The sequence below is a fragment of the Homo sapiens genome, chromosome 5, assembly GCF_000001405.40.
Source record: "Homo sapiens chromosome 5, GRCh38.p14 Primary Assembly".
NCBI lineage: Eukaryota > Metazoa > Chordata > Mammalia > Primates > Hominidae > Homo > Homo sapiens.
The window spans coordinates 1,887,294-1,900,734 of record NC_000005.10 but is presented as its reverse complement, the minus strand read 5'-3'; the positions used below and the strand labels follow the sequence as shown (position 1 = coordinate 1,900,734).

The 13,441-nt window shown below is 53.4% G+C and overlaps 1 long non-coding RNA gene across 1 annotated transcript, besides 1 other annotated feature; it reads right to left on the bottom strand.

Annotated features, from left to right (window-relative positions):
• Positions 1 to 241: 241 nt before the first annotated feature.
• On the bottom strand, positions 242 to 13,404 carry CTD-2194D22.4 (uncharacterized LOC101929081). The gene is made up of 4 exons (NR_109912.1): positions 13,366 to 13,404; positions 12,453 to 12,522; positions 2,616 to 2,690; positions 242 to 1,693 (listed from the first exon to the last, which is right to left on the bottom strand). It is a non-coding gene; the product is annotated as an uncharacterized LOC101929081 (long non-coding RNA).
• Positions 10,630 to 11,430: an enhancer, noted in NCBI's record as "H3K4me1 hESC enhancer chr5:1889419-1890219 (GRCh37/hg19 assembly coordinates)". NCBI's record gives its function as "activates a minimal SCP1, AML or CMV promoter by ChIP-STARR-seq in primed H9 embryonic stem cells {active_cell/tissue: H9 hESC(primed)}" and the evidence as "EXISTENCE:reporter gene assay evidence [ECO:0000049][PMID:30033119]".
• Positions 13,405 to 13,441: the final 37 nt, after the last annotated feature.

Sequence of the window (13,441 nt, the reverse complement as noted above, 5' to 3'; positions counted from 1 at the left end):
AAACCTGAAGGCCTCAGAAGCTTAAGGGACACATCAACTGAGCTCAACGTCACTGTCACAGGATCCCGAAGATTCACATAAACTGGAAATGAATATGCAGATGTGGAGAGGCAGGGAGGGCCAGGATCTAACCCCTCACACAGAACTCAGAGAGGCAGAGAGGACCAAGGCGGAGAGTCCCATCACCCTGAAATGGGGGCTGGGGATGCGCAGGGAGCCACTGCTCATGGAAACAGCATTCTTTTTGGGGGGTAATGAAATTGTTCTGCAATCTATGGTCATGGTTGCACAAGTTCATGAAAGTACTAAAAATCACTCAATTGTACAGTTTAAAAGAGTAAATGTTATGCAAATTGTTTCTCAAGAAACCTGTTATTTAAAAATAAAACATAAAAACAAATAAACTGTCAAAAAGCAAAGAAACGGAAACATTGTGTATTTGAAGATATTAAAGAATTATTGGGCCAGGCATGGTAGCTCACACCTGTAATCCCAGCATTTCGGGAGGCTGAGGCATGGAGATTGCTTGAGCCCAGGAGTTCAAGACCAGCCTGGGCAACATAGTGAGATCCTGTCTCCACAAATAAAATAAAATGAAATAATTTAAAAATGTAAAAACATGAAAAGAATTGTTGCCTTTTCACATATGATATTCATATGAGTTTTGTTTTCTTTTGTTTTGTTTTGTTTTTTGTCTATGTGTTTTTTTTTACAGATATGATACCCTGAACTTGCTCCAAAGCAAATTGGTTGGGGAAAATGGGTAAGATTGGCCATGAATTATGTAAGTGCTGAAACTGGCTGACGGGTGCCCACTTCTTCTCCCTATTCAATAAGTCTCCCTATTTTTGTAAATATTTGGAATTTTCCATGAGAAATGGTTTTTAAATGTAGGTGAGATGAGGGGACACCAGCAGCTGTTGAGCTCCACACTTCTAATTTCTAGACTAAGAGTCAAAGTGATGGTCCCAGGGGAGAGCCCGGCACCTCTGGCCAATGTGGGGCCCCTGCTGGCATAACACCTGCTTGGTCCCCCAGGTCGCTTCGAGATATGACCATATCCAGGGGAAAAAGAGGTCCTCCCTTCCTGTCTCTTTTCATCAGTGAAGGAATCTTTTCCAGAACACTGAACTCACTTCCCGTGCATCTCAGCTCAGCATCACATCACACACTCAGGCAGGTGCAGCTGCATCTGGCTCTGGGCTGCTGGCCACCCACCCAGGCCGGGTCTGTTGGTGCCCCCAGACCTCAGTAATGGGTCCCTAGAACCCTGTGGCCCCAGGAGCAGGCCCCAGGGCCTGTCAGCCTGCCTGACACAGCTCCCTTCTCACATCCGGACAGCATGGCTCGGCCTGCCCTGAGAACATGCTCTGGTCCAGACCCCAGACCCCACTGCAGCTTCGGGGCCACTGACTCAAGAGGTGTCCACAATGTTGGCCCATAGTCCACAAGAGGCTGACTAGGAGGGGACTAGAGAGACACCCATGCAAAATTGGAATTGCAGGTGAACAGCAATAGTTTGAAGCCCACCACATCCTGGTAGAGGGGATTTTTGCTTTGCAGGCAGCAGTCTGGGAGCGGCCCAGTGCATTCCAGCCTTGCAAGGCACACTGTCAATGCCGAGATGATCCTGTGGGCTGGGGGAGACTTCACCGAAGCTTTAATGGAGCTCTGGAAGCAGGCAACATCAGACCTAAAAACAAATCAGAGCCACACACAAACAAGCGGAAAATGAGGATCCCGGGGGCAGTGAAGCCAGAAAGATGGACATTGATTTCCTGCTGGGCACAGGCTTCAGGGATCTGCAGCCAATAAAGAGATCTCGCTCCACTATCTGACAATAACGCTTCACTCTTCCTCGCCACCCATGGCTCATAATATTGAACCAAGTTACCACGATCTACAGGGGGAAGAAAAGCTTAAAACGATTATCAAACTGAACACATTCTATTTCTGGGTTTCCTATTAAAGCATCGCTCCTGTATAACCTGTCTCCGCTCTTCACAGCGTGTTTGGCTGTGGATAAAGGTGGCTGTTTCTGCCTCCTCTCTGGGCTTCTGTCTCACAGTGGCTGCAGAGAGAGATTTCAGCAAAATGCAAGTGTTCGAACTACCAGTTCAATGGTTTTCAAAATATTTAGCCCAAAGAAAATCAGTCTATCCACCCAGTTCTCAAAAACCTGTTAAGAATTAAACAGAAAACCAAGCTTTTCCCAATTTTGGTGGGGTGGGGTGGGGGGCTCTCCCAAATGATGAAGATCAGAGGATTCAAAATGAGATGCCTCCTCTGCCAAGTAGCTGATGCCCCAAACCCCAGAGTTAGGGCTCCTGGTGGTGAAGGGCTTCCAATCCACCCTGAGCACAAGGGAAACCACTCCGCCTCCCCGTGCCCCACAGAGATGTGTACAGGGGCCCTGAGCGTCAGTGCCTCGGTGACGAAGGACGGGGAGGTCTAAGGCCAGGTGGAACCTGGAGCACCTGCTTAGGCTGGGAGTCTAAGGCCAGGTGGAATGCCCACAGGCACATCAGAGACACACAAGTCCCCTCCCACACAGCCCAGCCCGAGGGGCTGCAGTCTAGGCATTGCGCCGGCTGCTCCAGGGGCCTGTGACTCACCCAGGATTTTAGATTGCCTGCAAAGCAGAGTCTTCACCAACTTCATCTCTCGCGTTCTCCTTGTGACAGAACGTCCTGCAGGAAAGATCCCGGGCAGCTCCTTCACCTTGTGGCAAGGCCGCCCTGTCTGGAGAGGGGACAGAGTGATCTGAGTAGTGCTCACCGGCTGAGACGGGGACTCCCCGGCCACTGGAGGCTGGGCCCGCACCAGAGTTGTGCAAGAAGCAAGGCTGTCCCAAGGCTGAGGTTTTCTTTAGGTGAGGAGCACAGAGATCCATCCCAGCCCTCCCTCAGGCACAGGCAGGCACCAGGAATAATTCCCAACGGCAACGTCCCCATGTGCGTGGGGAGTCCGTTTCACAGATGAAGAAAGTTGAACACATCCTCAGGTACAAGACTTTCAGACGTGGAGCTAGCCTCTTCGGAGCTGGAGTTGGAAGCGCATGCAAACTGTGTAACAGAGGCCAGTGTCCAGGGTGCCAGGGATGCCCAGCCTTTCCCAAGGAAGTAGCCAGCCCCCACAGGCCTGTATGGACCTTCTCCCCGAGGAAAGGCAGGAAGTGCTCTGGATGCCGGCTGCCAGCTGAGGCTCCGGCAGACACAGGTTTGCCTTCTCCAAGGGAGTCCCATGGCAGGAGTGCCTTCTCCAAGGGGTCCCATGGCCCAAAACCCGAAGCCCAGCACACAGCACGGGCGTCTGGGCATGTGTGGCTCTGGGAGCATGTGCACTTTTGCACCCAGAAAGTCAGGTGTCATCCACTTCACCCTACCAACATCCACGGTGATGTTATCACCATTATCTCATTGCATCGCACGTGAAAGAACGCAGAACAGACCTGCTTGGGAAACTCTAGCAATTTACTACACTAGGACACCTTTACAAGGTTGTTCTTCTTTCCCCGAGGAGAGTCCCCACTGCCACCTTCCTATATAAATGTAACACACAGTGAAACATGCTGGGTGAGCCATCCCTGAGGCCCGCACAAGGCCGGGGCCCCTTAGCCCCACACGGCTGCAGGAACCCCACCTTGCTGAGGCACCTACTCCCCTGGGTCGGGCAGGGCACCTGTGGCCGTTTATGCACTCTCACTGTGTCCGTGGCTCCACCAGCTGCCTCCCACCCTCGCAGCCAGAAGTCCAGGAATCCTCTCTGATGTCTCCTTCCAAGCCCCGCACCCAACCATTCACCAAGTCCACTCAGTCCCTCCTCCGATTCTTTGGCCCATCTCCACTGCGGCTGCCTCAGGTCAGCCCCGCTGCGCCACAAGGCACAGACTCTACTGCAAGGCAGAGCCCAAATGCAGAGCAGCTCCTGTGCATCCCTCCAGCCACTCCTCGCTCACTGAGAGTAGAGGGGCGGTGGCCCAGCACAGGGCGTTTCCACCCAGCTCCACAAAGGGCTTCTGCTCCGAGGTCCAAGGAGGCTGCTCTGATTTGCACCCCTTCCTAGCCAGCCAGCAGGTGGAAGCAGGGGGTCAGCAGGTTCCTATATGGGGTCTTTAATTGGCATTGTGTGTTTTGTCCTTACATTACATTTTCTCTTTAAGGTCAGGTGGAATGCCCACAGGCACTTCAGAGACACACAATTCCCCTTCTGTCTAGTAGCTTTTTCTATGTTGAAAATTATATTACAGTATGTAATCACATAATAATACACAAGTATAGTATATAATTATACAATTTACTATTATATTACAGTAAATCACCTAATATGCAATTATAATATTATGAAACTGACTTGCAAAGGAATCATTGCATCAGTCAGTAGGACAGACCGTGTGGCTGTAACAAACAATCTCCACCTGTCAGTGGCTGAAAACTGCAGCTGCTCCTGCTCTCACAGGTGTCGGCCCAGGTCCCAGGGGCTCCGGTTCACACCAGCTCATTCAGGGAGCTCGTCTGCCAGTCTCCACTGTCTGAAATGCTCCTGTTTGCCATGGCAGGTGGAAGGGGAGGGGGACTCTCACTGGGCTCCAAGGCTTCTTTATGGCTGAGACACAGTCACCTTGTTCACATCTCATTGGCCAGAGGGGCTCCAAGGGGCAGGGAAGTGCAGTCCCACTCAGTGCTTACAGCAGGAGGCCCCCAACGCAGTGAGCGGCACGGCCTGCCACCATGTCACCACAGGTCCCTGGCCACACCACAAGGGGAACCAGCTGGGAACAAGAAACAGAGAGAAAACACCACCAGGAAGGGCCCAGCTGTGCCCACCGTGGGAACTCTGCCCGAGCCCTGCGTCTGTGTCCTCGGTTTTCCCACAGCACTTCGTGCCTCGCATAATCTCCTATGTCTTTGTTTCTCAGTGAGACAGACAGGCTTTCTGGGTGGCCTGCGATCGCTGCCTCTCAACATTCACCTCTTGGTGATCCCCTCCCTGCAACTTGCTTGTGATGAACAGAATATGGCAAAGCTAACCAGCTACACATAAGCACATTTGTGTGGTTACGTTACATAAGACTGCAGAGCCCGTCTGGAGTCTGTCCCCTGCCAGCTGCAAGGGACCCAGCAGCCATGCTCAGCCTCACAAGGCCCAGCACTGGGGACGGCCTCTGGGAGCTGAGCACACCCCCAGCCAACAGCCAGCAAGAGTCTGAAGCTGTCAGTCCTGCAACTGCAAGGGGATGAATGCTGCTGACAACCACACAAGCCAAGCAGGGAAGGGAGCGGTATTAGTCCATTTTCACGTTGCTGATACCAAGACATACCTGAGACTGGGCAATTTGCAGAAGAAAGAGGTTTGTTGGACTTACAGTTCCACGTCGCTGGGGAGGCCTCACCATCATGGCAGAAGGTGAAAGGCCTGTCGGGGGATGGGGGACTAGGGGAGGGATAGCATTAGGAGAAATATTTAATGTAGATGACAGGTTGATGGGTGAAGCAAACCACCATAGCATGTGTATACCTATGTAACAAATCTGTACATTCTGCACGTGTACCCCTGAACTTAAAGTATATTAAAAAAAAATACAGAAAAGCTAAAAAAAAAAAAAATTGAACACCTTTAACGGCACCCGAGTCACATCTTAATGCTCTGCTGCTTAGAAATTTCTTCCATCAGATACCCTAAAACACCTCTCTCAAGTTCAAAGTTCCACAAATCTCCAGGGCAGGGACAAAATGCCGCCAGTTTCTTTGCTAAAACATAACAAGAGTCACCCTTACTCCAGTTCCCAGCAAGTTCCTCATCTCCATCTGAGACCACCTCAGTCTGGACCTTATTGTCCATATCGCTATCAGGCTTTTGGCCAAAGCCATTCAGCAAGTCTCTAGGAAGTCCCAAACTTTCCCACATTTTCCTGTCTTCTTCTGAGCCCTTCAAACTGTTCCAATCTCTGCCTATTACCCAGTTCCAAAGTCACTTTCACATTTTCATGTATCTTTTCAGTAGTGCCCCACTCTACTGATACCAATTTGCTATGTGAGTCCATTTTCACACAGCTGATAAAGACATACTTGAGACTGGGCAATTTACAAAAGAAAAGTTTATTCAACTTACAGTTCCACGTGGCTGGGGAAGCCTCACAATCATGGCGGGAGGTGAAAGGCACATCTCACAGGGCAGCAGCAAAATAGAATGAGAGCCAAGTGAAGCCACCAGATCTCCTGAGACTTACTCACCACCACGAGAGCAGTATGGGGGACACCGCCCCCATGATTCAATTATCTCCCACCCGGTCCCTCCCACAACATGTGGAAATTACGGGAGTACAATTCAAGATGAGATCTGGATAGGGACACAAAGCCAAACCATATCAGGAGCCCTTCCCCTGTCAAGCTCCCCGCTGAGAGCCCAGCCCTGGCTAACGTGGTGATTGCTGCCTTAGAGGCCTAAGGGGAGGATTGAGCAAAGCCATGCCTGCATCCCTGACCCACAAAAATCAGATGTGAAATGTGTGCTCTTCTCAGCCAGGTTTCTTGTAACGCTGTCATACAGCAATAGACAAGCAGTGCACCAACCAGAAGCGGTCTGCTGCTGTAACAAATCCCAGAGCTACGGGAGTGGCTTTGGGAGCTAGCAGCAGGCAGAAGCCAGAAAAGGTTGAGGACCAGGATAGAGAAAGCCAGAAGAACCTCAAGCAGAATGTGGGCAAAAACGCAGACCTGAGCATGCTGCAGAGAGGATGTGCGAGAATGGAGAGCGTGGTGCTGGGATCTTCACAGGGTGGCAGAAACTCGGCTGCAGCTCCTCCTGCAATGATGCTGGAGATGTGGTGTGATGTGATGCGGGAAGCAGCATCACAGGTGACTTCCGAGATGTTAAAGGCGCCACATGGTTCCTCCTGCTGCTTCTGGTCAAATGCCAGAGGAGAGCGCAAAACAGAGCCAGGACTGGCAACAGAACACGTTCAGTGCCCTCAGATGGCAAAAGACTCAAGCTCAGAGATGACTTTAAAGCATTGTCAGAAAACGTCATCTGGTGAAAAAGGCAAGGTGGAGCTAAGAAGACCTCAGAAACATCCAAGGTCGGAGAATTTTGGTCACACGAAGGGTCTGTTGTTTCTCAGCCGTCTCAGCAGGAGGTTAAGACAGAAGGCTCATCTCAGAAAGACCTGCAGTACGTATGTAATCTAACACAGTGAACCCCAGCTAAAGCCGAGGAAGTGGCACAAACTTCTCCAGAAAGTAATTTCAGTAAAAATCCCACCAGCTTGTGCAGGGATGGACAGAATCTAGAGAATAGGCTGGGTAGAGAGCACGGGGCCCAGGACGTCAAGCAGGACACAGGTGGATGTGCCTGTGCTGTGTGGTGAGGCTAGATTGCTGTGCAGCCACAGACAGCTGATGCCAGGCATCGCTCGTTCATCCAGCCACTGAGGTGCTCAGCCCATTCACTCGCTCATGGTGCTGATAGTGTTATGTGTCTCTTTTGAGAGCCCATGAGCTCCTGCTTACTGTCCCTTCATCGATGTATCCAAGAGGCAGCGGGAGTGCCCGGGACATGCACACACTCCATAGACACCCGTTGAATGAACAGTCTCAGGCTCCCCATCCATGACTCCCGAGAGTCTCTGCCTTACGGAGGTGCGGCTGCTTCTTTCTTTTTTGCTCTCATTTCCTGGAGATGCCACATACACTTCCTCCTTCATGCGATGGTCACTGAGCGCCCACTAAGTGGTACAGGGCACTGTCCCAGGGAAATGCAACACACAGCCCTCAGGGAGCATTCATTCAGCAGAGGAGGGAGGCAAGGACAGCCAATCAACCGCGCAGCGTGTCGGACAGCGATAAAACAGAAAGGAAGGAAGGAGGAGAGCATGCTGGGCCTCACTACCCACAGGGCTGTGCGGGGCTTGCCGGGATGCTGGGAGCCCTTGGGAAGTCAGGGACGAAGGGAGTTCAAGCCAAAAAAATGGACTCTGCCTCAGAGGTGGCATCACAGGGGACTTTTCTGTTCTGAGTTGAATTGTGTCCCCCAAAAACTCATGGGTTGAAGTCCTAACCCCATTTCATCAGAATGAGACCTTATTTGGAAACAAGGTCGCTGCAGATGTCATCCGTTAGGATGGGGTCCTACTGCAGAAGGATGGGCCTCAACCCAAGATGACCGGGGTCGTTATAAAACAGGGAAGTATGGACACAGAGACACACACAGGGGCAAGGCCCTGCGACGATGCAGGCAGGGGCTGGGGAGATGCACCCACTAGGAACTCCACAGTCTGCCGGCAGCCACCATGGCAGAAGACAGACTTGTTGAATGGCTTTGGCCAAAAGCCGAGGCTCTGTCCCAGCCTTAGACTCAGAGGCACCAGCCCTCTCCACACCTGGATCTCAGACCTCTGGCCGCCAGGACTGGGAGAACACGAGGCTCTGTTGCCAAAGCCTCCAGTTGTGATTCTTTGTTGTGACAGCCCCAGGACCCTCCTACAACCTCCTAGCAGGAAAGGGAAGAGGCGTTCCCAGTTCACAAAGCCCTGAGCCTCCAGGTCTGGTCCTGATGCTGCTCCTGACCAAGTGGCAAAACTACAGTTTCTCCTCCGGAGCTTTCATATCATGGACAATAAAAGCTTCTCTTTCTGTCATTTTCAAACAGTCAATGAAAAGGTTGCTAAGCGTATAAGTAATTTTAACTGATTCATTGATCTGAATACTTTTAAAGTAAGACAGTAAGTATTTCTACCACACTTTGAAGTCAGGCTCTGCGCTCCGTCTCCTCCCTCAGGGTTATTTTATAGCCATTAACAATGTGTTCCTTTTATCTGGGGCCTTCAATTAATTGAATTTCAAGAAATACTCTGAAATTTTTTTATATAAAAATCAGCTAACTCCTGGAGGATATTCGTGCGAGATTTACTGCCACGGTAATTAAATGACTGGTGCATTATACTGGTCACTGCAGGCGCGCTGCCACCGCCAGCACTGAGGTTTAACTTAGGATAAGGAATGCTCCCCAGGTGTCTGTGAGACCAGGGAGTGCGCTTTAATTTTTAGGACCGTCTTTGGGTCGCTGGCACATGTTCCTGGATGAGCCCTTAAAGGGAGCACGCCCAGGCTCAAAGGGCAGCCAGGTGCAGACAGAGGCCAGCTCCTCAACGCAAACGACAAAACGTGGTGCCTCGACGTGCACTCGTGTTCCCTCACTTCCTGTCTCTTTCTGGGCATCACAGAAGTGGAGGTGAGTATCACGGACCTCCCCAAAGCCCTGCTGGGGAGTATAGGGAAGAAGTCACAATGCCGTGCTGTGGCAGGACAGGACTAGTATCAGAGAACTCAGCCTGAGGGCGGCACCCAGGCCCAAGTTCCTGGGGCTGACGGAGGTCACCCTTAGGAGGGCTCTGCCTCTTCTTCTCTCCTATTTACGTACTGACCCATGAAGATGCTACATGGTGTCTTGTCACCTTCTATTTATTAAAGTACATTTTGCATCCAAGTACTAGAGAATCGTTCATGTCAGTAACAGCCCTCAGGAAGCAGCGATGCTGTTTCTCATTTCTGCTGTTTCTCATACATTCTCATTTCAGGAATGTAACCTCCCTGCAAATTCCAGGCAGGAGACCCCATTAGCTCCCAGGTTTCAGGGCCTCTCCTACATCTATAGTTCGGTATTTTTGAGGTTCCTACGACATATAGCAATATGCAAAGAGTAATTGCATTTAAGATACACTTATACATTTCTTCTCTACCTACTGAAGGTTTTCTTAATGCTACATCAAATAATTCAAAACAATATTCAAGTCACTTGGCAGTCGTACATACTGCTGCCTTTTTCTACAATTTAAAATAACTTAATCTCATGTGGATGTCTCTTCTAGCTGGGGTTCTCGTGATTTGAGGTTGTGCCAGGTAAACATTTCAAATTTAAATATACAGACTGCAGACACTGCTGGAACTAATAGCCTTTCGCTTTTAATAATGAGGCCTTCTTAAAATTGCTGATGCATTTCAGTATTATGGACACCGTTTCTTCATCCCGAAAAGAGGAGAAATAAATAACTTCTCAACTTTTGCTCCCTTGGCCTCATTCCAGCCTCACAAGGACAGGACAGCAGGAGAAGGAGAGTGAAAGGGGCTCAAGCTCCCACCCCTGGCTAGCCACTGGTGGTCACTCTGCAGCAGCCATGCGCACCACTGATCCTTGGCCACACAGCGCCGTCTCCACCCAGATGCCACTCTGCTTGGGAAAGAAACTCACTGTGTCTGCCCTTGTGCTGTACAAGGCAGGCTGCCCCTGCAGCACTGGCTGGGCCCCAAGGCTGGGGACCCCCTGAAGCAGCCAGGAGCTCAGGGAGCTTCCAGAGATGAAAGACACTGTTGTCCACGCCACACCCCTAGGGAGCTACATCCTGCAAACACTGCCCTTCTGCTGTCAGGACCAGCCTTCCAAGGACAAGAGCATCTCTGTGAACTAGTGCCCAGGATGCTTTGGAGACCATCCTCACTTCAGACAGGTTTCCCAGGCCTCCCCCTTGGCCTGGGGAAGGGCCTCCTTCCCCTCCTGGGTCTCTGGAAAGGGTGGAGAAGATGAGGCTGTGGGGCTCTGGGTGACAACAGGCACCGGGAGCTATGTTAGGACCACGCCTCAGGACAATCCTGGATGGCGTTCTCCACCCCAGATGCCTGTGCATGCTACAGCAGCATCCAGGTGAGGAGGAGGAGGCGGCAGCGTGGCCAAGCCCTGGGGGCACAAAGACTTCTATTTCAGATTGCACTCTGGGGGCCCTGCCAGCAGGAAGAACAAAAGAGGGATTGAAAGAGGATCCATGGGGGGAGCAGGATACGGAGCAGAGGCCAGGCACAGCCGGCCCTGGAGGACACTCCCCTGCAGGGGTGGCCCAGGCTGCAGACAGACTTTCTGGATTGATTGCTCGCTTGGAGGCCCCAGACAGATGTTCCCTGCCAGGCCTCCTGGCCAAGACCTGGGAATTTCCATCCTTTCCTCAGAGCGCCTGGAAACTCAGCAGGAGGGTGGGGGCAGCTCCCCTGCCCTCAAGGTCAAGGGCTGAGGGGCAGAGGGCAGCTGCAGATGCCCATGGTCGCTTGAGTCATGAAATCAGGGTAAGGTCAGGCCTGGCAGTGTGCAGAGGACCTGTGCTGAGGATGGAGCACCAAGGTGGGGGAGGACACAGCTGGCCCTGCCCTCCAGGGAAGGGGACAAAGTCACACACGGAGCCTCGCTAGGGATGGGAGGCGGGGTTGTTTCAGAGGATGCCTGACAGTCTCTGAGCTACGAAGATCCTAGCAGTGAGCCCTTTCTGGGGGGTGGTGACCCTGAGCTCCTCATCTGTGGGCTTCAGGGCCTCTTAGCCACTGTTGCTGCTGTTGAAGAGGCCGCAGTGCCTATGAAAGGAGTTCATTGCGTGAAGTCAGGTTGGAAAGGCACATACGCTTTGCTTACACTGAGCCTTAACAAGAACCTAAGTCCACATGAGCTTGCAGGCAGTCCTGACGCACTGTCCCTGTTGGTCCCGAAGGGCCTGCCAAGATCAACAGTGCGGCACGGAGGGGCCTCCTCTCCCTTCCGGGGTGGAGCCTGCTGGGCCTCAACTTCCTTCTGGCTGGAATTGAAGACGCTCTCCCCACCTCCCAAGGAGGACGATTCCATCTGACACGGAGGGCACACCCGCTCGCTCCCGCCCATCTGTCCCCCACGCTTTGAAGCAAGCTGGAGGGTAGAAACCTAGAACCAGAGCCCCCTTCCCTGTGCCCCAGAGTCCGCCCATGGGCTGCACTGGTGACTCACACGCACGGTCCGCACCATGCCTCACGGCCCACTCCACCTCCCTGCTGCCAGAGCAGGCCAGAGACCAAAGCCTCGTCCTTCCCGGGGGAGCCCCTGGAGCTCTCGATCCAGCACCTGGGCTGGACACTCTGGGCCCTCTTCTTTCCCCGTGGAAGCCCCACGGGTGGAGGAAAAGAAGGATGAGCAAGGCTTGCAGACAAGGATGGTTCCCTGTGCAATGGGGAGGCAAGCAGAGGCCTGTTCCCTTTCCCGCAGCTACAGAGAGAGCTGAAGAAAACGATGCAAATAACTTTTTCAGAGATTGTCCAAGTCAACAAATCTCAAATGTCATTGCATGACCACAGATGACAAGAAACAAGTTCATGGTTCTTTGAAGTAAAAATGATGGAGGAGGAGGGTAGAATAAAGGAAGGAAGCAAATATATGTGAGGATTGCCCCAAATACCCCATGGCACTGCCCAAAAGGACATCCTCCAGGTAGGAGTGAGGCTGCCCTGCCCCGCACATCGCCACTAATGGGGGCAGCATGGGAACCAGGGGGCGCGTCTGCAGCCCCAGCCAGGCCAGTGCCTGGGAGAGTGGCCCTCTCAGGGCCCTAGTTCCTTCATCCCCCAGGAGCCCTGGGGCTGCATCATCCTCCAGTCCCTTCTGGCTCTGACCTGGGCAGCCGGTCACCTGCTGCTCCAGCTTCCCTTCGGGGCCTGTCTTGACCTCTGCAGAGCAGCGGCTCTGTGGATGACAAACAGACCTGTGCCCGGCTGCGGGGGCGAGGTGGCGGGGGCAGGGTAGGGGCCCCCCAGCTCCCTGAGGGAGGGGCAGGGCAAGCTGCACGCAGGCGCACCTTCCCTGACTGGGTCCTGGCCTCAGGCTGCAGAAGCGGAAGACCCTCCAGCCCTAGTCTGACCCCAGGCCAGAGGTCCAGCCCCCATGCCCTCCCCTAACCCTGGCGGCTGGGACCAGGCTCCCCACCAGGGCATGCCCCCCTTAGCCCGGGCAGGTCACAGACTCATTGGTCCTCGGGCGGCTTATCACCGTGGTCCATTCGCGCCCACTTGCCCGGGTCCTGGTGCCCGGACCTAGGCTTTGCCCCTGCCACAGCCTGCTGTTTTGAGAGTGAGCCGGCTAGGGACTAGCGTGGGCACCAGGAGAGAACCCAGAACTGGGCCGCTTAGCACGGAGGGGCTTGGGAGAGGGGCAGGGGAAGAAAGGCAGGACCTGAGCGCCCTGCAGCCAATTCCGAGGGTTGGCTGGAGCAGCAGCCTCGCCCTCCACAGGCCTTGGGGGGTGGGGGAGGGGGGAAATACTAAGACCTCGGAGGGAAACCGGGCCGACGACAAGGGTGGCTATTTCCGGGCTCTTCGCGCCCGGCCCAAGCGTCCCTGGGTGGGGCAGCCCAAACGGGGAGAGGGGCCCCGTGGGCCGAGGGCCCGAGGCCGCAGCGAGCTTAGCGTTTGGCCAAATCTGGCTCGCGCGCCTTCCCACTGTCCTGTTAGGGCTGTGTGACCTCCCGGAGCCCTACGTCCCCGCCCAAACAGCTCCCAGCGCCCCTGCTGGCACCCGGGGCGCCCTCACCCCAGCTCCTGCACCCGGCGCGCCGCGCGCAGACCGGACGGAGGGGAAAGTTGGCAAGAGCGCGGCGCCCGCGGGA